Source organism: Homo sapiens, chromosome 16 (genome assembly GCF_000001405.40).
Source record: "Homo sapiens chromosome 16, GRCh38.p14 Primary Assembly".
NCBI lineage: Eukaryota > Metazoa > Chordata > Mammalia > Primates > Hominidae > Homo > Homo sapiens.
Genome location: NC_000016.10, coordinates 81,986,546 through 82,011,545, shown reverse-complemented (window position 1 = coordinate 82,011,545; position 25,000 = coordinate 81,986,546). Strand labels below are relative to the sequence as shown.

General features: G+C 43.9%; 1 protein-coding gene and 1 long non-coding RNA gene across 5 annotated transcripts, besides 1 other annotated feature; one reads left to right on the top strand and one right to left on the bottom strand.

Annotated features, from left to right (window-relative positions):
* On the top strand, positions 76–22,691 carry SDR42E1 (short chain dehydrogenase/reductase family 42E, member 1). Of its 4 annotated transcripts, XM_005256257.5 has the most exons (4): positions 76–159; positions 3,678–3,905; positions 10,662–10,755; positions 11,322–22,691. In XM_005256257.5, the coding sequence occupies exons 3-4, from the start codon at positions 10,688–10,690 to the stop codon at positions 12,433–12,435; spliced, it is 1,182 nt and encodes a 393-aa protein (XP_005256314.1). In that variant the 5' UTR covers positions 76–159; positions 3,678–3,905; positions 10,662–10,687; the 3' UTR covers positions 12,436–22,691. The 4 variants fall into 4 exon arrangements, with proteins under 4 accessions (XP_005256314.1, NP_660151.2, XP_011521773.1 ...); NM_145168.3 differs by lacking the exon at positions 3,678–3,905; XM_011523471.4 differs by lacking the exons at positions 76–159; positions 3,678–3,905 and adding an exon at positions 11,129–11,245 and having other exon boundaries at positions 10,663–10,755.
* Positions 152–301: a silencer, noted in NCBI's record as "silent region_7764". NCBI's record gives its function as "represses an Ori minimal core promoter by ATAC-STARR-seq in GM12878 lymphoblastoid cells {active_cell/tissue: GM12878}" and the evidence as "EXISTENCE:reporter gene assay evidence [ECO:0000049][PMID:35858748]".
* LOC112268169 (uncharacterized) lies at positions 3,652–7,090 on the bottom strand. The gene is made up of 2 exons (XR_002957879.2): positions 6,757–7,090; positions 3,652–4,079 (listed from the first exon to the last, which is right to left on the bottom strand). It is a non-coding gene; the product is annotated as an uncharacterized LOC112268169 (long non-coding RNA).
* Positions 22,692–25,000: the final 2,309 nt, after the last annotated feature.

The window sequence follows — 25,000 nt, the reverse complement described above, 5'->3', positions numbered from 1 at the left end:
TAGAGACTCCGAGACCTCCAGGCTTCCTAGAGAGGCCCGGAAGTGGCTCCAGGAGGCAGGTCCGACGGCTTCGGCGCCCCAGCTGTGGTGATGGGTAGCTAGGAGGCCTGGGCCTCTCTGCCTGCTGTAGCCGTCTGCCGCGCCCTTGTTCCTGCAGCTGTGAGTGGGCCTGGGCTGGGGTTGGGGGGCCGCCGCCCTTCCGCGGGGACCCTGGACCGCCTCGGCCTGGAACGCGACAGGTGGCGGTCCCGGGGGTGGGGGACGGTGGTGAATGACTGAGCAGGGTGGCGGGAAGGAGTATCCCCTTTCAGATGTCTTCCTGATCCCAGGGGACCGGGCGCAGCTTGGCTTTCTAGAATGTCGCCAAGGCCTCAAACACTGGCCCTCCGCATTTTTTGTTTTTAAGGACATCGGGGCCCCAAGCTCCGAACTTTCCACAGGTGGCTGGCTATACTTGATTCCTGTCTTTGATTTTCTGCACACTTTGGGAGAACGATTACCTCCTCTTTATCACTTGGTTCTGGTTTGCCACTTAAAAGTGGCAGTGACAGGTTCCCATTTAAACTGCATGTATTTGTTGGGAAAAGGTAAGTAGGTTTAAACAAAACCTTATAGGCTAGTCATAATACCAGATGAATCAGATGTGACAGAAATTGTGGAGGTGGAGTGAGCCCTGAAAATCTGAGACGGGTCTCAGTTCATTTAGAAAGTTTATTTTGCCAAGGTTGAAGACATGTACCCATGACACAGCCTCAGGCGGTCCTGACGATGTATTCTTAATGTGGTCAGAGCCCAGTTTCGTTTTCTACATTTTAGGGAGACATGAGACAAGAACAGATGTAAGATGAACATGTTTTTCGGTCTGGAAAGGCGGGACAACTCGAAACGGGGAGGGGGCTTCCAGGTCATAGGTAGGTAAGAGACAAATGGTTGCATTATTTTGAGTTTGATTAGCCTCTCCAAAGGAAGCAATCAGATATGCCTTTATTTTAGTGAGCAGAGATACATGAATAGAATGGGAGGCAGGTTTGCCCTAAGCAGTTCTCAGCTTGACTTTTCCCTTTAGCTTAGTGATCTTGGGACCCCAAGATTTATTTTCCTTTCACAGTGATAAGATAATGACCTAAGCGAATCTGTATTGTCCCAGCCTTATTGTGCGGCATTACATGTAGTGGTTAAGAGTCATACAGACCCGGCTTCAAGTCCTGAACCCTGCCCAACCCCTTATGACCTGCATAATTTGTGGGCAAGGTTCCTAACCTCTGATCTATTTTCCTCATTTCTGAAAGCTGATGATAATACTAGTAACAACTTCGGAAGATTGTCCTGAGGCTTAAATGCTAAACCTTTAAACTACCTGTATTAATCCATTCTCATGCTGCTAATAAAAACATACCCAAGACTGGGTAATTTATAAAGTTAAGAGGTTTGATGGACTCACAGTTCCACATGGCTGGGGAAGCCTCATAATCATGCCAGAAGGCAAAAGAGGAGCAAAGTCACATCTTACGTCTTATATGGTGGCAGGCAAGAGAGCTTGTGTAGGGGAACTCCCCTTTATAAAACCATCAGATCTTTTGAGACTTATTCACTATCAAGAGAACGGCATGGGAAAAACCCACCCCTGTGATTCAGTTACCTCCCACTGGGTCCCTCCCAGGACACGTGGTAATTATGGGATCTACAATTCAAGGTGAGATTTGGGTGGAGACACAGCCAAACCATATCATTCCGCCCCTGGCCCCTCCCAAATCTCATGCCCTCACATTTCAAAACCAATCATGCCTTCCCAACAGTCCCACAAAGTCTTAACTCATTTTAGCATTAACTCAAAAGTCCACACTCCAAAGTCTCATCTGAGGCAAGGCAAGCCCCTTCCACCTATAAGCCTGTAAAATCAAAAGCAAGTTAGTTACTTCCTAGATACAATGGGGGTACAGGTATTGGGTAAGTATACTCATTCCAAAAAGGAGAAATTGGCCACAACGAAGGGGCTACAGGCCCCATGCAAGTCTAAAATCCAGCGGGGCAGTCACATCTTGAAACTCCAAAATGACCTCCTTTGACTCCGTGTCCCATATCCAGGTCATACTGATGCAAGAGGTGGTTTCCCATAGTCTTGGGCAGCTCCACCCTTGTGGTTTTGCAGGGTACAGCCCCACTTTTGGCTGCTTCCAGGGCTGGCGTTTAGTGTCTGCTGCTTTTCTAGGTGTACGGTGCAAGCTGTTGGTGGATCTACCATTCTGGGGTCTGGAGGATGGTAGCTCTCTTCTCACAGCTCCACTAGGCAGTGTCCCAGTGGGGACGCTGTGGGGTGGTTCCAACCCCACATTTCCCTTCCATGCTGCTCTAGCAGTGGTTCTCCATGAGGGCCCCACCCCTGCAGCCAACTTCTGCCTGGACATCCAGGAGTTTCCATACATCCTCTGAAACCTAGGGAGAGGTTTCCAAACCTCAGTTCTTGACTTCTGTGTACCCACAGGCTTAACACCGCATGGAAGTTTCCAAGGCTTGGGGCTTGCACCCTCTGAAGCCCCAGTTTGAGCTGTACCTTGGCCCGTTTTAGCCACAGCTGGAGCAGCTGGGACGCAGAGCACCAAGTCCCTAGGCTGCATAGAGCAGGGGGACCCTGGACCCAGCCCAGGAAACCATTTTTGCCTCCTAGACTTCTGGGCCTTTGGTAGGAGGGGCTGCCAAGAAGGTCTCTGACATGCCCTGGAGACATTTTCCCCATTGTCTTGATGATTAGCATTTGGCTCCTTGTTACTTATGCAAATTTCTGCAGCCAGCTTGAATTTCTCCCCAGAAAATGGGTTTTTCTTTTCTTTTGTATCATTAGGCTGCAAATTTTTCAAACCTACACTCTGCTTCCTCTTGAATGCTTTGCAGCTTAGAAATTTCTTACCCCAGATACCCTAAATCATCTCTCTGAAGCTCTGACTTACACAGATCTCTAGGGCAAGGACAAAATGCCATCAGTCTCTTTGCTAAAACATAACGAGTCACTTTTGCTCCAGTTCCCAACAAGTTCCTCATCTCTGAGACCACCTCAGCCTGGACTTTATTGTCTATATCACTGTCAGCATTTTGGTGAAAGCCATTCAACAAGTCTCTAGGAAGTTCCAAACTTTCCCACATCTTCCTGTCTTCTTCTGAGCCCTCCAAACTGTTGCAGGCTTTGCCTGTAAACCAGTTCCAAAGTCACTTCCACATTTTCAGATATCTTTACAGTAGCACCCCACTACCCAGTGCCAATTTACTGTATTAGTCCATTCTCATACTGCTAATAAAGACATTCCCAAGACTGGGTAATTTATAATGGAAAGTAGTTTAATGGACTCACAGTTCCACGTGGCTGGGGAGGCCTCATAATCATGGCAGAAGGCAAAGGAAGAGCAAAGTCACGTCTTACATGGTGGCTGGCAAGAGAGTTTGTGTAGGGGAATTTTCTTTTATAAAATCATCAGATGTTGTGGGACTTACTATCATGAGAATAGCACAGGAAAGACCCGCCCCCATGATTCAATTACCTCCTACCGGGTCCCTCCAGGACACGTGGGATTTACGGGAGCTACAATTCAACAAGAGGCTTGGGTGGAGACACGGCCAAACCATATCACTGCCTAACCCATAATAAATAATAAGTGTAGCCATGGTTGTTGCTGTTTTTATTTTAGGGCGGAGGAAACAGAGGTTCAGTGAATTGCCTAGGGTAACACAGGGAATTGGTGGAAGAGCCAAGTCTAATGCCCAGATTTCCAAACTGGGAGTCTTAACCCTTCATCAGTGCTACCTGTGCCACATGGGAGAAGATGGGCCACCTCCAATTCATTTTCTCTGGGAACTGCAGGAACCACAATGAGGTTGCAGAATGTGTTAACAGTGAAAGCCCTCACAGGACTCAGGTCAGTACCAAGCACTTCAGGTAGGGGCTCTGCACAGCCTCGAGTGCTGCTGCGTTAAGATGAACTGTAGAGTCAGATGCACCTGGGTTATTGGTACAGATCCCTGCTCTACCATTTGCTAGCTGTAGGACTTGGAGTTAGGCACTTTGTGTCTCTGAGCTTCAGTTTTCTCACCTGTAAAATGGAATTAACAAATTAGTACTCATCTGAGAGGGTTGTGAAATAATTCACAGACAGAGTGTTGCACAATGCCTGGCAGAGAGTAAGTGCTTAATAAGTGGCAGTTGATATTACTTCAATTACTAGATATTAATTCAATTACTTGGTATTACTTCAATTTATAGACGTGGCAAACTGCTGACCTAGTGAAGAAGAAAGTACAAGTGTAGTACTCCTTGCAGATAGGACAGAAAGAGGCATTTGAAGAGCTTGCAAAATGTTCACCCCATTTATATTTACTGGGTCTACAATCTGCTAGATATTCCTTGTCCCTATAGATATTGCCAGTCTGTACTCACATGGCATTTATACTGTAGCTTGGGAAACAGATGGGAAATACCAGTTACAAAATTATTTCATTTCTTTGTCATCAGCATTGTGAGGAATTGCAAGGCACTTGTGCCACAAGTATCTAGGCAGAAGTTTAGGTAGCCGAACAAGATTTGAAACACCTCAGGTGATGACCCTGAATTATAGACAGCTGTCCTGCTACCTAGTTATATTCAAAACCCTGCATAAATACCCATATCTATTACGAGTATACTGGTTTTCACTTAACTCTATGCCCTTAGGTAATTTTCTTCCAAGGTGTGTTTGGCCTTTTGGTTTTTTGTTTTTTGTTTTTTTTGAGATGGAATCTCCCTCTGTCGCCTAGACTGGAGTATAGTGGTGCAGTCTGCACTCACTGCAACCTCCATCTCCCAGGTTCAAGCAATTCTCCTGCCTCAACCTTCTGAGTAGCTGAGATTACAGGTGTGCATCACCACGCCTGGCGAATTTTTTCTGTTTTTAGTAGAGACAGGGTTTCACCATGTTGGCCCAGCTGGTCTCAAACTCCTGACCTCAAGTGATCCACCCACCTCAGCCTTCCAAAGTGCTGGAATTACAGGCGTGAGCCACTGCACCCAGCCCCTTTTGAATTTTATATGTCACATCTCTTTTATCTGTATCAGAATTCTTCTCCTTATCCCTCTAACTGCATATTTATTTTTATTGTTTTGACTTCCTTGTATTAAACACAAGTAGATAATTTTCAGATCATGCATGGAATTTGAACAGCACCATTTCGTAAGCCCTCTAGCATGAATATATTTGCCAGATCTCAATATAATAAGAATACAGTTACCTTTTACCTCTGGTCAGCACTTGTACAGTGATTTAAAACACGTAATCATGGGGTTATAGTACTTGGAGATATTTTTTCTCTCTCTTAAAGTAAATACAGTTTTTTTATTTTTATGGTAACAGTCTTAAATTCCCGCTGTTCCATACTTTCTATTGGTGAAATGCTAATGACACCCATATTTCTATATTGCATTATGATACCAGAGGGCAAGTAGCACAGTCATCTTGAACTCATAGGGATGAAGGAACGGTGTGCGTAATCAAAGGTTCTTATTTCTGATCTTTAGCATTTAATTAGGTCTTTTAAAATGTAAAGTACTCCCAGTCATCTTTTATTAGTTTTTTCTCATAACTTCCCTTGAGATGTCAACTTTATTACCCTCGCTTTACCTTAGTATTCTCAAGAGGTCAGGTGGATTTTTAAATTTAATTTTTTTTTACTGTTTGTAATTAAGGTTTTTTTTGTTGTTTCTTGATCATGTGCTTAACTTTAACCTGTATCCACTAAAATGACTGCTCAGGTCGGATGTAGCCCTCCCCACCAGGGGAGAGCAATTACTGAACAAAGCCACATTTTGGAAGGACCTTCAAGCACTTGCCATTATAAAGGCAGGTCTGAGTGCCCAGCCCTAGAAGGAATCAGATAGAAACTAATTAATAAAACAGAAGCCACAGAGTAGATGAAAATCAGGCAGCTGGTTGAAGAACAACTGTATATTCTCTTTTCTCCCTTCTGGCTTAGGATTCATGTGAATTTTGGGTGGGGGCAGGTCTGCAAAATGCGTTTGCTGAGATTTTTCTGTGCTTATCAATGTTGGGGATCAGGAAGGGAGGAGGCGGCTCCCAGCAGTGCAGCAGATGGCTACCATCCTGTGAAGGCTTTACTGGCCTGGTGGATAAGCTTTTTCCTTGCTGTTTATCTTGTTAAGTTATTAATTTTTCTTATCTTTCTCTTCTGACCCCCCCGATCAGGTCAGTTATACAAGTTTTTGCCTCAGATCATTCTGAAACTAGTTGGAAGGTAATGGAGTAGCATCACTAGGCCTGGCAGGTTTCTGAAGCATTAATAATCCGAAGTTGTATGTTCCTTACTTGATTAATGTGCACATGAACCATGATTGACCTATGGTCTTGTGACTGGACTGGAATGTGTAATTTTAAAACCAAAGACTAATTAAAGATAGGTATTTCCGTTGGAATGTTTTAATTGGGCTTTTGAAGGCCTTGTCCATTTTCAGAATTCCTTATGGTGGAATTCTTACAGAGATATTAAGAAGATCTTAAATTGTTATCTGACATCCTGTTTGTCAAAACTTTCAACCAGACAAGAACATTTCCAAAACTTACTGTTTCAATTAATGACATCATCTTCCTCAAAACATCACCTGGGTGCAGCACGCTGCCACCTCCTGCAGTTGTTCACCAGCCCTCACCCTGATTTCACCTGAGCACACTGGCCTTTTGTCCTCACTGGTAACCCGCTAGTCTAGAGCCACATCTCCCTTACCTGGACCCTGGCCCATTTCCTCCTCCAGGGGAAGCCTTCTCTTTCACAAGTACCAAGGTGGCCCCAACGGTTCATTGCTGTAAACCTACAAAGGCTTGTGTTGTCTGCAGAGTGGAATTCAATTAGCCAGGCATCATGGCACACGCCTGTAGTCCCAGCTACTCAGGATGCTGAGGTAGGAGGATCGCTTGAGGCCAGGAAATCAAGGTTGCAGTGAGCCGTGGTCACACCTCTGCACTATAGCCTGGGCAACAGAGTGAGACCTTGTCTCAAAGAGAAAAAAAGAATGGGATTCAAACTTTATGGAAGGGGACAGAAGCCTGTCTCCAGGCTCACCCCAGGCTGTCTTTTCACCCTCAAGCATCAGCTCCATGCTTCAGTTTGCACACCAGCCATGGCGGACTCACCATGTTAGCTGCCCAGCACAGCCTTCCCTGCATGTGATCCATTTATTCGTGGTGCACCCCCACCTGTGATAACCCTCCTTTCAGCCTACCTAGATCCTCCCATGGGCCCTGTAGTGCTAAAGCTCACTCTCCCATGATCTCTTCCTGATGTGCCCTGTCAGAATCAGTCTCCCCACCCCTCACCTTGGTTTCCCACCACACTTTGTTTATACCAACATTATAACAGTAGCGTTATTTTCATCTTTTTTGCCTTTTCCTTTTGGTATCTGTAGAAGCCTCTTTCTTATTTGTAAGCTCTGGAAAGCAGGACCTCTGTCTCGTTTGGGTTTGTATCTTTCATTTCATAACCCGGCACTTTTTAGGAGACATGTTATTGTTAAAATGGCAGTATTAATGTCTTGCAGAACAGCAGCTCTTAGACACTGCAGAGCCCTGGGTAATTTGTGCCCATCACAATTTTACTGAATTGGATATATTTTAGGGTGTTCAGAATAATCCATAGATTCAACAAATATTTATTGAGCATCTACTATGTTCTGGATTCTAGTAGGGACACCCCAGAAGGCAGAAGACCTCAGTTCTCATAGAACTTAACATTCTGTGGGAAGGAGATCAATAATAAAAAGTAAATAGTTTTAGATAGATAGCAAAATGTTCCATAGAGAAAACAAAGCAACATTTAGGGTACAGGCATCTGTGTTAGCTAGGGTGATCAGAGAAGTCTCTCTGAAGACTTGTCAGCAGACCTAAATATTGAGAAAGAAGCTTCCAGAAAAGGACCTAGTATACGATGTGTCACACTGAAGTGAGAACAGGAGGCACTAATGGGCTCAGCATCTTCAAGATAAGGAAAGTCTGTACGGTTGGAGCACGGAGTGCCAGTAGCAGAAGAGTGGGAAATTGTGACCAGGTCATGGAGGTGAACGTGGGAAGTCTGTATTGATATATCAGTAACTGATGTCTACTGTGTTGGGAAATAGCATTCATCATGAAGGGTTGTGAGTACACTAAAGAACAGAATTGACTGCATTTGGTTTTATGGCTACTCTAAATCCAAATGGGAGTGTTCTGCACTCAGAAAACAATAGAATCACAAGGTCACTGTTAGGTGCATTGAGGGAGTGCTGGCACATTCATTCTTCATGAATTTTCTTGAAAGCACAACCGTGGCAGTTGCTTAATGGAACCTTGGGAACTCATCAGCCATCCTCTGCCCCATTTTGCTCAGTTTCCCTAGTATTTCTCACTCTTCTCCATACCCTCAAACCACTGAGACAGTCACTTGCTGAACCTTGTCTTCACTTGTCACACTGACTGACTCTGCATAAGTGATCTGATTCGCTTCATTGGCAGTCTTAATACACTCACACAGGTATTCAGAAGAACTTACAAAACTCTTTGTAACCCTGTGCTTTTGAGAGATGTAGTCATGTCATGTGGAAATGTAATAAAATAGTTGGATCTCTAAACTCTGGAGTGTGAAAAAAGGGCAGCTCAAGGAATGACATCTGTGGAGTGCCCATACGGTGTCAGGTGTTTTGTTGGACATTTTTTGCACATTATCCCATGCAGTCTTCAGGCAGGCTTATTATCAGCTCCACTTTTAGATGAAGCAGCAGGTTCAGAGTGTTTAACACATGTGGTAAACACACAGTCCAAAATCACACAACTGGTAAGTGGACCCCAAAGTCCATTCTCTTTTCATTTAAGACTGTGTTTTAGTGGTTAAGAGTGCGGGCTCCTGGGGCCAAACTGCCATCGGGTGTGAATCCAGGTAAGCTTGGGCAAGTTTATTTACTGTCTCTGTGGTAATTCTCAGCTGAAAAACAGGATCTAATAGTACTTTCCTAGTAAGATTATTAAAAGGATTAAATGGCTAACATACACATAAAGCACTTAGCATGCTGCCTGGCCCTAGTAGTAAGCACTAGGTATGTGTTTGTTGTTATTATTTCCACTGTACCATGCTGCCTTTTTAGAAACTTTAGCATTCCTGTAACATAGCACAACACACAACCAGACAGAAGAGAAAAGTGAAATCTAGAGAAATGTCTTGGCCAAGATCACATAACCATTTAAGGGCGGAGGCGAGACGTCTTCACTGTGTATTCCTGTCCCCCATATTTTTTCTTTCTTTGTGCATGTACACTGACTTCACACTCATAGCCTCTCTGCCATACAAGCTCTTCATCCTGCATAGCCCTAACCTCTGCTGCTCCCGCTTCCCTCCTGTCTCCACACTCTTCCATGTTGAAGTCTACTTTTGTGGTGCAGTGGCTGCAGTCGTGGGTGCCTGGCTGGGAAAGAGAAATGGTAGGGCTCTTGATTGCTTGCAGTCTTCATGCCTAACCACACCTCTGAGTGTCTCTGTTGACTTGAGCACAGGTATATGTGTGTGTGTGTGTGTGTGTGTGTGTGTGTATACGCACCCAGTGCCTTTGAGGACCTGTGTGCTTCCTGTGGTTTTTTTTTTTTTTTTTTGAGATGGAGTCTTGCTCTGTCGCCCAGGCTAGAGTGCAGTGGCGCGATCTTCGCTCATTGCCAGCTACGCCTCCTGGGTTCACGCCATTCTCCTGCCTCAGCCTCCCGAGTAGCTGGGACTACAGGTGCCCGCCACCACGCCCGGCTAATTTTTTGTATTTTTAGTAGAGACGGGGTTTCACCGTGTTAGTCAGGATGGTCTCGATCTCCTGACCTCATGATCCGCCTGCCTCGGCCTCCCAAAGTGCTGGGATTACAAGTGTGAGCCACCGTGCCTGGCCTCTCTCCCTCCCACATGGAAGGAGTTGGGTGTCTTCATTTTTGCTTATTTAGTTTTGTTTTTGGGAGAAGGGGGCCTTGGAGCCTTGAAAGAAATGCGGGGAGGGCCACAGAAGAAGAGGGAGAGAGAAGTGGGATCCCCAAAGGCACTGAGCACTTGTACTTTAAGTACTTGCAAGATTTGCGGTGGGGGAGGTGGGGCATGGTTTGCTACATAAAGGAGTTTTTCCCCATATACATATTTTTTAAGTATAGGGTTAATAAAGCAGTATTAAACCATGCTGCAGTGCGAAATTTTAAAGAAAAGATGTTGGGAGCTTCCTTTAGAGTGCTCTCTAATTTTCTGATGCATGGGGGGGAAATGCCTCTTCCTACCAAATTTGAATCAATTATTTTCAAAAAGGCTCTAATCATTTTCAAGAATTTACAATAATGCCTTATGTTCGAAACGTTTTTTGTGGCTCTCAAAGCACTGCCAAGTACATTCTCTTATTTAACCTCCACATTAACCTTTTCAGGTGGGCAGAGCAGGTATTACTGTCCCCATGTTACATCGGGTGAAATTTGAAGCCCAGGAACTGAAGGGAAAGTAGCTAAATGACACAGCTGTGACCAGACCCAGACCTCACCTTTTCATTCTACTACAGCGTATTGACTTTTTGTTTTTGTTAGGTCAAAATTAGGGAGAATGACGTTTGCATTTGGATCAGTAACAGTGATGCATACTTCTTTCTTCAGGTCCAGTTATCTTTTGACTGCCACATATGGACCCCAAAAGATCTCAAAAGGAAAGTGTCCTCATTACAGGAGGAAGTGGCTATTTTGGTTTTCGGTAAGTGTATCTATAAAATATACACATGGAATTATTTTACTGGTAGTTGCCAGAAGCATTCAACTCTGACAGCAGAGCAGACTTTTACTTGTTTGTGTAATGTCAAACCAGAAATGATCTGTGTTGCCCACTGCTCAGACATTGCAGCTGAGAACTACAGGTATATTTCACTTAAAGAAAAATTATTTATAAAGCCATTAAATTGGGAGGGGTGACTATTCACATCACCAAAAACAATTTTAAATCATAGCTGTTCTTTCACAGTTATCTTATTATTCACAAATATTCCAAAGAATAGATAGTGGGCCCTAGAACCAAGGGGGAAAAATGCCACCATTCTTTGAAGATAAGGCCTCTCTCTTTGTAATTTAAGTAGATGAGAGGATTCTCACTTTTGAAAATTTGAAGAAGCGAGGCTTGCACCAAGGAACATGCATAGTGAGGGGCTCAGGATGAGCCAAGAAGACTTGGATCAGCCCCACCTTGATTGGTAAATTACTTTATACACTTCCCCTAGGCACAGCTTAAGAGTGACTTGATTCAACGTTTACTGTTTCTTATTTCAGCCTGGGCTGTGCCCTGAACCAAAATGGAGTCCATGTGATTCTGTTTGACATCAGCAGCCCTGCTCAAACCATTCCAGAAGGAATCAAGTTTATACAAGGAGACATCCGCCACCTGTCTGACGTAGAGAAAGCCTTCCAGGATGCAGACGTCACTTGTGTGTTCCATATTGCCTCTTATGGTATGTCAGGGCGGGAGCAACTCAATCGAAACCTGATCAAAGAAGTCAACGTCAGGGGCACAGACAACATCCTCCAGGTTTGCCAAAGGAGAAGGGTGCCCAGGTTAGTTTACACCAGCACTTTCAATGTCATCTTTGGAGGTCAAGTTATCAGAAATGGGGATGAATCTCTGCCCTACCTGCCTCTTCACCTCCACCCTGATCACTACTCTCGGACAAAGTCAATTGCAGAGCAGAAGGTGCTGGAGGCGAATGCTACACCCCTGGACAGAGGCGACGGTGTCTTAAGAACCTGCGCTCTGAGGCCAGCTGGCATCTATGGGCCTGGAGAACAAAGACACCTTCCCAGGATAGTCAGCTACATCGAGAAGGGTCTGTTCAAGTTTGTCTACGGGGACCCCAGGAGCCTGGTTGAGTTTGTCCACGTGGATAACTTGGTGCAGGCTCACATTCTGGCCTCAGAAGCCCTGAGAGCTGACAAGGGCCATATTGCCTCTGGGCAGCCCTACTTCATCTCAGATGGCAGACCCGTGAACAACTTTGAGTTCTTCCGGCCTCTGGTTGAGGGCCTGGGCTACACATTCCCGTCTACCCGCCTGCCATTGACCTTGGTCTACTGCTTTGCTTTTCTAACAGAGATGGTTCACTTCATTTTGGGTCGACTCTACAACTTCCAGCCCTTCCTCACTCGCACTGAAGTTTACAAAACTGGTGTCACACATTATTTTAGCTTAGAGAAAGCCAAGAAAGAGCTAGGTTATAAGGCTCAGCCATTTGACCTCCAGGAAGCAGTGGAATGGTTTAAAGCCCATGGTCATGGCAGAAGTTCTGGAAGTCGTGACTCGGAGTGTTTTGTTTGGGATGGGCTATTGGTCTTCCTCCTGATTATAGCAGTTCTCATGTGGCTGCCTTCTTCTGTGATTCTGTCACTGTGAAGGAGGGGCCAGAAATAAGGTGATCACAGTTGGCTGAGATGGTTCTCAAGAAACATGGGTTTTAAAATGTGTACAGTGATATCTGGTGCCAAACATTGGCTCTTCAAATTGCTACTTAAGAATAGGTTCTTGGATTGAATCTTTATGTCTTATTTCCTTGCACTAATCCAGATGGGAATGAAAAAGCAGAAGCAGAGATTAGTTTGAAATTTGATTTGTTATGTGCTTCTGTTTTAGGTGGGTACAATAGAAGTCAGTTTGGAGCCATAGAAGTAGGCTTAGTTGAGTTGGAGATGCCCATCTTGAATTTCTGAGAGGGCAAGATATACTTATTTCCATTTTATGCAGTCTGCATCTACCTAAAACCTCTGACTGATGTGGGAATGGCGAAACACTATCAGGCTTGAATGCGTGTGAAAAACACCAAATTGGCCCAGATCCCTAACAGAGCAATCCTCGAGGGGATGGTGGCTATTGCTGGAGAGGCATTAGCTATTCACAGGGTACGTTTTAGGTGTTAACTTTTGCCCTTTATGATATCAGGGCATTATGCCTATGTGAACACATGGTAATGTTTGATGTTTAGGCCTTTATTCTACCTCATAGGATTCTTTTGAGGATTAAATTCAAGCATACAAAGCGCTCCTCAACACACATAGCCATTCTTTTTATCAGAATTGTCATGGTACATTCCTTATGAGGGCTTTCTTCCTCAGTGTTCTCTTTAGAGGGCTATTGCTACTGGACTTTCTGCAATGTCTTTGGGTGTGCCCTCAGAGCCTGCAACAAGTGTATTTGGATATACTCTATTTGTAAAGTTTAGGCCTCTAAGAAGGCCACAATGAAGCAACTAAAAATCTGATGATTAAGGGAGTCAATCAAGCTGATGCCATTTTTAGTTTAAAAATGAAGCAGAGCTCTAAACTCATAGATGGGTTTTCTTACTGGGAAGAAGATTGGCTCTCTGAAGACAGCTTCCAATGAGGAATGTATTGAACAATGGCAGCACTGTCTGGCCACCCACAAACTGTTACAGATGATCCAGTTACACTGTTGCATAGGAACCCAAGTGGAAAGAAGACAGAGTCCATGTCTGTCCATGGCTCCAGCTACAGAAAGGATAGTATGGGAACATTACAAGGGGGATACATTACTGTGGAAAGTTCTGCTAGAGTTAGTCTTGAGAGTATCTGTAAAATACAAATAGATGAGCAATCCCTGTGGAATGCTGCCTGGATATTTTCAGAAAAGCTCTGAACTTGATGTCATAATACCAACACCGTGAATATCGTGTGTGGCCTTAACCAAGGAACAGAAGCCCTTTAGAACTTAGCTTCCTCACTTGGGAGCTGGGACTGACTGCATTTGCCCTTTGTATAAACCCACCCACCCCATAGGGTTCACTGGGAGCATAAAGCAAGATGTGGTGAAAGTACTTCTAATATAAATTGCAACATCAGTATGAGGTGATGGTAGTGATTGTTTTTAGGAAAACGTGTTTGGAGTCTTTTCTGTCATAAAGAAGCTTTTGCATTAGCCTGGGGTTAACGCATATGAGCACCTGCCATGTATTGTTCTAGAACTGCTTGAATATCCTCATCCCCAGAGCAGGTCATCCAAGACAGCAGGGTGGAAGCTGCATTGTCCTTTATGACTTGGCCTCAAATGTCACAGTGTCATTCCACAGTATATTGGTTATGCAGGTCAATCCTATTCAGTAGGGGAAGGAAATACACAAAGGTATTTCCGTATTATACCAGAAGAGGGAGATGGTCAAAGGCGATCTTGGAGGCTGAGCTCTTGGCCCGATGTGAGTCATCCTTCCTTTTCCATGAAACGTTGCCCACATTTCCAGCTACAAAGCTTTTTCTGCCTGCTTCTTGCCAGAAGGATTTTAGGGGCCCAACGGCTGTGTTAACATTTTGCACTATATCCCTTTCCATTCAAGCTGGCAGTGGTACTGGGAACATTATTTTGAATGCGTCACCTGAGTCTTATTGCAGTTCACTCACAAAAGCCACACCCACAAATCTCTGAGGTAAGTTCTCCACTGTGAGCTTCTGCTCAGACTGCCAAGGGACAATACGCTGTGCTTCTTAGAAGCCTTACTGTCTGAACAGCTCTCTGGGGTGCCACATCAGGCCTTTCTGAGATCTTAAAAAGATTTTATACTCACAGCCACAGCCATGCACTGTCGTTTCCACAGTCTCGGGTGTTTACACAGGTTAGCCGTATTCAGTGTGGGAGGAGACTACACAAGGATATGAATACCAGGAGGTGGTGTCATTGGAGGCCAACGTGGAACCTGGCTACCACATTCCTGCTTCCATATCTCCCCAATTCTGTTACTGTCTCCCACTCCAGCTTGAAATGGTAGATTTTCTCAGTGCTCATTCCTTGGCCCTGTTCTAATACCATACTTTCTCCCTAGGTGAGCTCACCTAAGCCCATGGCCTCCATTTTCATCTCCCAGCCCAAATATGTACTACTAGATGTACAGTTCCAGACCACTCCTGGGCTCCAGACTCATATCTAAGTACTTCTGCAACTCCACATGGATGTCCCACATGCACCTGTCAGCCAGTGTAGCCAAAGTGGAATTCATAATCCTCTCCCACCCCAAATTCTTACAGGGCTCCCTTCCTTAGTAAATATCTCCACTACCTGCTGAATTTCCCATCCCAGAGATCTGGGATAATCCCTGACCCCTGCCCTCTCCCAGACTTGACACACCTAACCCATGTTTAAGCCAGTTGATTTTTACTTGTAATCATGCCTTAAAACTGCCCAAGGTATAGGTGTACCTTCTCTCCCATAGATTCCACTAGTAGCCCATTTGCTCTTCCACCCATATCCACACCCTCCTTCCTTCAGTCCATTCTCCACATGCCTAGCCAAGAGACTCTATAAAGGTGCAAATCTTTTGTCACTTCTCTGCTGAAAACTTTCCTTAGGTTGAGAATCTTTAACGTGATCAAGAGGCTTTGTCTGAACTGGCCCCTTGCCTGTCTCTCTAACTTCATCTCACATTATTCTGCCTTCTCTGCCCCAATTACACTGACCTTTTTTAGGTTCCTGGGCTCCAAGCTTCTCAGGCTCCCTGCTCCTCCTTTTGGCCTGAATAATGTTTATTTCGTGTCTCTTGTTAAGTCTCTTTCTAGAGGCCTTCACTGATCCCAGCAATTTAAGATTGGTGCTCCTGCTACAAATGATGCTACAGGCCTGTCATAGCTTCCTGCCTTTCTTTTATAGCATTGCTCATAACTGTAAACATTTGTACGGTTATTTGTTTAATGCCTGTTAGCTCTATGAGGGTGGGAACTTTGTCTTGCTTACAGCTGTACTCCTAATGCCCGGCACAGTGCAGGAGTTCAATAAGTATTTGTCCAATGAATGCTGTTTTCCCATCTGCTATGGATGAACACTCTTTTCTAGCACACAGATAACTCACTGTTTCTAATCTTTTGGAGACTGGGGAAAATAGCCAACCTACACTAGAACTGTCGTAACTAAGTCAAGATTAGATGAGGTCTAGTGAGTAAGGGAAGTCATTGTCTATATGATCTGGTGGAGTATTAATGCTATAAGGAGGTCAGGGAATGGGGAAGGAATGTGGGCCAAGTGATTTGTGCTCCCTCCACATCTCAGCTGAAAACTCACCACTTTAAAAGACTTAGTCTATTTCCTGAAAGGGAGCTCCCCTTCCTTTCTATGGTCAGGAGACGCTGCAGTTAAGAAATTCTATTAGTTCTAGGGTTCCCAGCTGCCCTCACCTTGCCTCAACCTTAGATTGAATCACTCAACCCTGCCTAACAATAAAATTATGCTCACACTTGTGCACTTGGGGATGCTCTCAGAGGTCTGGGCAGAAGCCACCCAGCACTGCTACCTCACCCATGGCTTCTGAGGAGTGTGTGGGAGGTTATCCATATGATTGATGGAGGGTCGCAATGAAGGAAGGATGTGTGAGCAACAAGGAGCCCTGTATTGGAACCTAAAGGTAATGCCCAAACTGCTCCCACCTGCAAAAAGGGAAGAGCGGTCTGGAAAGCCTGTTGGAAATACTTCTTGGATGTCCTCAGTGCCGTTTCTGGTGACAGGGGCAGACAGTGCCACATTACAAGCAGTAACAGTTAGTGGAGGGTCAAATAACTCATTCTGGCACCAAATTACCTATGCTGTGGTGTTTCTCAAACCTAGGGAATAGGCCTAGGGATTCTTTTCAAGAAAATGTTTTATTTTCCTCAACCATCTAACATGGTGTATAAAAGAGGCAAGTGTTGCTTTGTCGTAGATTGTTGGGGCTGCTTCTACCTTGTATTGCTTTCCAAATCTCCGGTTCGCCCAGCCTTACAAAGGGTAGAAGTTGCCTGCAGAATGCCACGCCCCAGCTCTGACCCAATTAGACATCATTATAGGGCCACTGGTGCCCCTGCTGGCTGGCCTTGGAAGCCAGCACCAGCAATGTTATTAAAATCTTCACCAGCATCTCTTGCTTAGAGATGGCACACCAGGTTGTGTGCTGTTCACCAGCATATCTCACTTTAGAGAATGATACCCCATGCTCCTTTTTGGTGACAAAAAGTCCCTCCCAGCCCTTTCGTGGGGCTGACCTCCACATGCAGGCCTGACCGCTCACAGGACTTCCATCCTTCGGCCGCAGTCATTGGGCCACGATGGGCCAGTCAGCGTCATCCTTTCAGCCTTTCTCCCAGAGCAGGTTTAGAGAAACCCTTTCAGCTAGGATTGCTTCTCTGGGGAGGACAGGCGCTTGGTGCAGCTCCTCTTCAGGGTCCTCCTACCTGAAGGAGAGGACCGAGTGCTGATGATGTTTGGGCTGCTGGGTCCAGCTATGTGTTAAGAAGAGCCAAAAAATGGAGAGGGAGGAGGTCCTGGTGACTACACTGGGGTTCCGTAACGCTGCCTGCGGGACGCTCATCATTCCAGATCGTCCTCTCACGTGAGTCTTCAGTTCACTTTCTTTTCTGCTTAAGGTCCTTTAAGTTCGATTTTTCTCCAGGAATCGCAGCATGTCCTGGTGTGCCATGTCCACAGTCCACTCCTGGGTACAGGTGATCCTACCCCGTGGTTTCCAAAGGCAGCCTCTCCACTCACCTCTGTGCCCTCTTTCTTTCAAACGGGGGTCGTCTTTTGGTCCCTGGGTAATTTAACATTTGCTGGAGTTTTTCTTAAAAAATGAGATTGATTTCCTTTTCTAGAATCATGTTTATTTGAATTACGTTTATTCAAATCATGTATATTTGGCACCAACATACCTTTAAGCAGAGTAGTTCAAACTCTTGTTTTATATGGAAATTGTTTGATGAAGTGATTTGCTCCCCAGAACATAAACGCCCCATGAGAGCAGGAACCATGTCTGTTTTTTCTACTTCTGTACCCTTCATATGCCCAATAAATGCTTGTTGACGGGGTGAATGCACTTATCAGCCAGGTGGTCCCTTATCTGAAATTACAGCTGATTCCCCAGTTATTGCTTCTTTTACACCTGAGACTCCCAGCCTGAGGCAATAAGAACATTCAAGGCCTAAATTAAAAATGCAGACTCCAGAAGGGTGACATCATGTAAAACGGCAGAGTAGGAAGCTCTGGAATCGGTCCTTTCACTGTAACAACCAGAAAAGCACGGGGGCAGGGGAATGATCAGAACCAATGATTTCAGGAACTCCTTACATCTATTTTACCTCGATATACAGACTCCAGACTCTTCCCTGATGCTTCTGATTGAGAAAGTCTGTGTTGGTTGGTAATCTGCACTCTAGGTGTTTCTTATCTTTCAACAAGGAGGTGAGCACTGGTGCCAGATACTAAACACTGGCTCCCTTGCAAGATGCTGAGAGGCTCCTGACTTCTGCTTGGCTCTTCCCTTTGCAGTGCTTTGCTACAGCAGGTGCTCAGTACAACTTTGCTGAATGAATGAAGGGGGAGATGGGACTCGCCAAAGGGCCTTGGATTCGAGTGACCCCCCACCTGCTCCTTTATGCAGGGCCCAGTTCTTTGTTGACACAGACAAGCACTGCTACGTCCCAGTGCTGACTTTTCCAGCCAACCTAGAGCCTCTTTTTCTTGAGCCAAAGGGATTCTTTGGCAACACATCTTGTTGTGCCTGGTTACCTGATCTTTTAGTGTAAAACAGCCTTTTGCTATTGAAAATCAAACCAGAAATAGAGTCAACCAGTCCCTGGTATCTCTAAGTTGTGCAAATTCATACCATGTTACCCTTCTGTATTTTAGAACCTGGGCACACCAGGAACTCATTGAACTCAAGTTGCGTTCATAATTACTTGAGTTCATTGAACTCAAGTAATTATGACCGAGGCCAAATCTAGTTCACTACAAAGAAATTGCATGTAGCAAAGTGATCCAGGCAAGTGTCTTTCAACCAACAGGGGATTTATCAGCAGTAATTCGCAATGTTTATTTTTAACAGCTGGTTAAAGCATGCAAGTAATTAAAAAATTCTTCATTACTAATATGCAAGATTTTAATCTTGGCAAGTATTCTACATATCTTTTGCTCTAGCCTCCCAGTGGAGCCATATTTCAGATCCAAGAGTAAAATACTGTCTTACCCATATATATATTTTAACATATGTATATATGTTATAAGAATGAGTCGTCTTTTGCTCTTAACAGTCACTAGGAGTTAGTGTCCTGAATAGATAATAATAAGTCTGAAATGTTGCCCAGGTTTTAAGGGGAATTATTTGCACATTGCTGGGCAATTACAACACCCCCACTCCACTGATTTATAGTCCTGTGCCTTTCATAGGGGATTTAGCTTCTGGGAATGTTCAACATGAAGCTAATGATCAATATTAACCTGTCACCCTAGTTAACTAAATTACTCAAAGATGAACATTGTTAATAGTTAATTGCTACTATTTGTTGAGAGTTTACTCAGGATAAGGCTTTCTAATTTTTTTTTCTTTTTTTTGAGATGGAGTTTTGCTCTTGTTGCCCAGGCTGGAGTGCAATGGCGTGATCTCAGCTCACTGCAACCTCCACCTCCTGGGTTCAAGCGATTCTTCTGCCTCAGCCTCCTGAGTCAATAGGATTACAGGCGCCCACCACCACAACCGGCTAATTTTTGTTTAATTAGCGGTGATTTGGGGTTTCGCCATGTTGGCCAGGCTGGTCTCAAACTCCTGACTTCAGGTGATCCACCTGAGGCTTTCTTTATTTCTTAGGCTTATTTAGCTTTCTTAATGTCTTTAAGAAACAGATCAATTTATTATCTCCAGTTTACATGGGAGGAAACTGAGGCTTAGGGAGATGCAGTACCTTGCCCAAGGGTACCCAGCGTCACCAGCTAGGAAGTGGCAAAACTTAAATTTGAGCCAGGTTTACTTGAATCCAAGACCAAATTTTTTTTTTTTTTTTTTTGATAGAGTCTCGTCTGTCACCCAGGCTAGAGTACAGTGGCACAGTCATGGCTCACTGTTGGCTCGAACTCCTGGGCTCAAATGATTGTCCTACCTCAGCCTCCCAAGTAACTGGGACTACAGGTGCATGCCACCACATCCAGCTTTTATTTTCTGTAGAGACGGTGTTTCACTATGTTACCTGGGCTGGTCTTGAATTCCTTGCCCCAAGCAATCCTCTTGCCTCGGCCTCCCAAAGTGCTGGGATTACAGGTATGAGCCACCGAGCCTGGCCCAAACTCTTACCTTGTTGGAGGTGGTTTTATCACGTTAGCATGACATTATTCAAGGCTAAGTGTTACTCGAACTTCATTTGCAATTAAAGTAAACTATTTGTTACAAAAAATGAGTAACTGTAAATAGTGACTTCTGCTACACAAACTAAGTTACAGAAGCAAACCATTATTTTGTCATGTGAGTATGTATTACGTAGAGCTGAGGTGTGTGGGCGGGGGGTGCTGTTAATCTACTGGAATTCCATGTATTTTGTGAGGAGCATGGATGTTAGAGCCATACTTAATAGCCCAGAGGACATCCTCCAGGAAGACTTGTTTGTGTACCTAATCAAATACTGATATTGGTCACATTGCACATGTCCTAGTCTCTCCTCTAAATCAGTATCTTGAGAGCAGAGCCCAAGTATTATTCGCTGCTGATGGCTCTTTGCCTCCCCTGCAGTCTTACACTATTCTGGGCGTGGAGCACAGACCTAATAAAAATCTTTCGAAGTAATGAAAATGCAAAGTCCAGCCTGTAGAGGTGCCCTTAGATGTTTAAATTCTCCCAAAGAAGGGTGAACTTTTTACAAAGCACTTCACAGTGGAAGTGTCTCTGAGCACAGCAAATACCTTAAGTTTGGGCCCAAGTGGAAAAGAAATATTTGGTAGTGGGTGATTATAGCCCTTCAGTGCTCAAGGGACTCATGCATTTGCTTGCACTTCCTTATGCCTGTCCTGGAGCCATCTCTTATTTGCAATGTGACTTTGAGCAAATGCCTCTCATCTGTAAAGTGGAGATAAAACATTCCCTGCTTATCTCTTGGGGGAACTTGTATGGATTTAATGGCACAGAGGCCTTTTGTAACCTGTACAAGAACTATGCACATGGATCCTTAATTAATAGTGTTTCTGCTGGGAAAGATGGAAGGGTTTGGAGGGGAAGCTGGTGTCTACAGGAAGAGATGCAAGACATGCTAGTGGAGTTTGAGACGTTCAAATGGAATGTTCAGTAACTAATTAGCAACATAAGACTGTAGTTTGAAAAAAACAACTGCATATGCGGGTAGAGATGGTTCAGTGAAAATGTTTCATTGATTTCCTGCCATATAACAGGTATTAGTTTATTTACCGTGGCTTTTCTTTTTTTCTTTTGAGACATGGTGTCACTCTGTCGACCAGGCTGAAGTGTAGCACTGTGGACACAGCTCACTGCTGCAGTGCCCTCCTGGGCTCAGGTGATCCTCCTAAGTAGCTAGAACCACAGGTGCACCAGCACACCTAGCTAATTTTTCTGTCGTCTTTTGTAGAGACAGGGTCTCACCGTTTTGCCCAGGCTGGTCTCAAACTCCTGGCCTTAGGTGATCCTCCTTCCTCAGTCTCCCAAAGTGGTGAGATTACAGGAATGAGCCACCGTGCCCAGCCTACCATGTTTTTTTTGTTTGTTTGTCTGTTTCAGACGGAGTTTTGGTCTTGTGGCCCAGGCTGGAGTGCAGTGGCACAATCTTGGCTCACTGCAACCTCCGCCTCCCAGGTTCGAGTAATTCTCCTGCCTCAGCCTCCCAAGTAGGTGGGATTACAGGTGCCCGCCACCACGCTCAGCTAATTTTTGTATTTTTAGTAGAGATGGGGTTTCACCATGTCAGCCGTGATGGTATCGAACTCCTGAGCTCAGGTGATCCACCCACCTCGGCCTCCCAAAGTGCTGGGATTACAGGCTTGATACCATGGTTTTCAATTACTCAATTCAGTCACGTTTTGAGCTCTAAACTGAAAATGAGTTTTTCTTTTCTTGAGATTGCAGAGTCAATTACACCATGCTAGAGAACAAGTAGGCATCTATGCCTCTCTGCTCTAAATTTTGATGTCTATAAACACCCATAGCGGTGTGTGTTGGTTTTAAATTGTGGGGCTAGAAAGCCAACCCAAAATCATCAAGCTTTTATTTCTACACATTCAGAGTGCTTCTGTGTAACTTAGATTTAAAAGTAACTATACAAATAATGCATAGATGTATTTTTCTTATATAATGTTAAAATATTACGGATAAGGCCAAAGACCCCTTTTACTAATGTCCCCAAATTTCATATATGTATATATTTGTATAGAAAACAGGGCTGTGGTGTTCATGTCTTTCCCCATACTACTGTCTCCCACCTCACAGTTCCTTCTGCTACTACGGTTTCTCACTCAATAGTACAGCATGGTGATCTATTGATATTAGTATATATTCTTTATTTGCTGACATAGGAGGTCACCGGGTATATAAAGATGATAAGCATATGTCCTAGTTGGCCTAAGACAGTTCTGGTTTCATGCCTGTAGTCCCACCTTAATTTTTAATAGTGCTTCCTTTCACTCTCAGGTATGTCCCATTTTGTATAATAAATTGTACGATCACCCTATATATAAGACACATAGTTATATGAAGAATTAAGCATTTTTCATAACAGATGTATTAGAAGTTATTGTGAACTGATTTTGAGGGGAAAAAATCTCATTTTGTACTAGAATAGAATATAGTAGAAAATCCTGAATTCTGGGTATGTAGCAGTATTCTACCAACATTGAAATATTAATAAAAAATTACCTAAAGAAAATCTTATGTATAGTTTTTCAGTGCTTCTTTTGTGTATCCCTCAGCAAAATAGATTTACTGGTGGAAGAGTAGATGATCTGACACGCGGTCGTATGAAAGCAAACACTGGTTCGGTGGTTCACCGAACACTGGTAACTAGGAAAGACACAAAATAAAATATATCTGAACGAATTCCTCTACAGCACATGCAAAATAAAGCTAATATCAGTAGCAAACTATAATAAATTTGAATAAATTCCTCTGCAAGTAGCCATTGAACATGTAAAAGAATAAATATTTAGTCAATATTGGTACAAATTATGCAGCATAATACACTAGAAAGAATTCCAGTATCAACCTTGCGAAGGCAGCAAATTTAACTATATCACAGAACACTACAGTATTCAAGAAGCAAAAAGGAAAACATTTCGGTGAATTCAAATGGAACTTGATTTTCCAGTAAGTATAGCAACATCAGTCCAAAAGCATTTGTGAAATGCATCATATATGTTTTGCTTTTCATTTTCTCCAAACCTAAAAAGCCATCTAAAATGCCTGAGTATAGGTAATTCTCCTTATACTTAGCCGTCATTGTGTTAGTGATAGAGTCGATAACAGCCTCAAACAACCTCCTTCAATTGTCCTTCACAATGTTGTGGTTATTACTTCAGTAATTTTACTGCCTCAAACCTAGTAAACAAATAACATGGCTTTGCCTCGGCCAGCCCTATTAAGAACAGAGGTTAGGAACAGGTGGCACTGCCAGCTCCCACCCCTACCCCAGGCTGCCCAAGAAACCTGTCGTTCCCCAGCTGTTGATAGAGTCCTGTGTGCCACATCAGAACTTTCCTAACTTCTGCTGTCCACCTACCTCTGATTATGCTTCATGTACCTCCCCAACTTCCCTGCCAGTCTCCCAGGCATAGGCATGACTCATCTACCAGCAAAGGTGAAATCTGAGTTGGTAGATCTAACGCCTGGACTGCCTTTCCATTCCCCACCCTGGACACACATTCAGGGCACAACTGGCGCCAAGGAAGGAGGCTCAGTATGTGAGCTGGGTGGCGCCTGGCCTAGAGCTTGCCTTTGTAAGAACACTAGATGATTGCTACTTTCTCAAACAACGATGGCATAGAATATGTCTTATTTATGGCCATCAGATAAGGTAGATATACCTAGTTCTTAACAGCTGAACAGCATTCCATAGTGTAAATGTACCATGGTAGATTAAGGCATTTCCTTATTGGTGTTTATTCCGTTTGTTTCTAGCTTGCCACCTTATCAGACAGCACAGGCATGGATGCTCTTATATATATATATCTCCTTACATCCACGTTGAAATGAGCTGCTAGGATAGACATCCAGAAGTGGAATTAGAATTTTAATAGGGACTACTGTATCAGACATGCATTCAGCTGCGCATTTAAAAATTATTAACAGTGCCTTGAACAGTAGTTTGTTGTTTTCATGTAACAAGGGGTCCGGAAGTAGGCATACGTGGGATGACGCAGCTCAGTGGTAACATCAGGGACTGGCCCCATCTTTCGGCTCTGTTGGATCCTCATTCTAATGATTCTCACCGCGTGATTCTGAGAAGGTGGCTGCACCCTCAGGCATTATTACAGGCAAGAAGAAAAGGGAAGATAAACAAGGCCAAAGGGAAATGCCAGCTGGGTCTATTTCTTTTAAAAAGCCTTCCTGAAAGCCGACTCCAATTTCTTCTACTGGAAATGAGGGAGGAAGATGGGATTATAGGTGGGGCTTGAGTCAGCCATACTGTTCATCCGCTTCCAAAGTGGCTGTACAAATTTACCCTCCCACCAGAGTTCCTAGTGCCTCCATACCATTTCCAGAACTACCTTACATTTCCATATTTGCCAATCTCATGAGTTTTTTAATATCTCATTTTTTAAAACCTACCCTTTGTAATTACTACTCGAGAGCATCTTGCCAGGTATCTGTTAGACCTTGAGTTTCCTCTTATGTGAATTTCATAGTCATATTTTCCCCTACTTCTCTATTGGGTTGCTCATCATCTTTGCATGGATTTGTAGGATGTAAAAGACGTAACATCTTCTATCATGTAAATCATGGATAGTTTCTCTCTCCCCAACAGTTGCCTTTTAACTTAGTTTCAATTGTCTTTTTAATTATAGTAGTTTTAATTTTGTTGCTAAATTAATCATGGGGGGTTATATTTGTTTATGAAGGTCTTTCCCATTCTGAAGAAATAGATATTGTATGTTTTCTTTTAATAGCTTTAAAGTTTTATTTTTTACCTGTTTACCTTTATCTGGTATTTAGTTTTGTGCATGAGGTGAAGATCTAACC

What these genes read in the sequence shown, in the direction of transcription:
- SDR42E1 (NM_145168.3), top strand. Translation starts at nt 10,688, where the DNA reads ATGGACCCCAAAAGATCTCAAAAGGAAAGTGTCCTCATTACAGGAGGA. An exon ending in AGTGGCTATTTTGGTTTTCG is followed by an intron (nt 10,756 to 11,321) that starts GTAAGTGTATCT and finishes TTCTTATTTCAG; the next exon opens with CCTGGGCTGTGCCCTGAACC.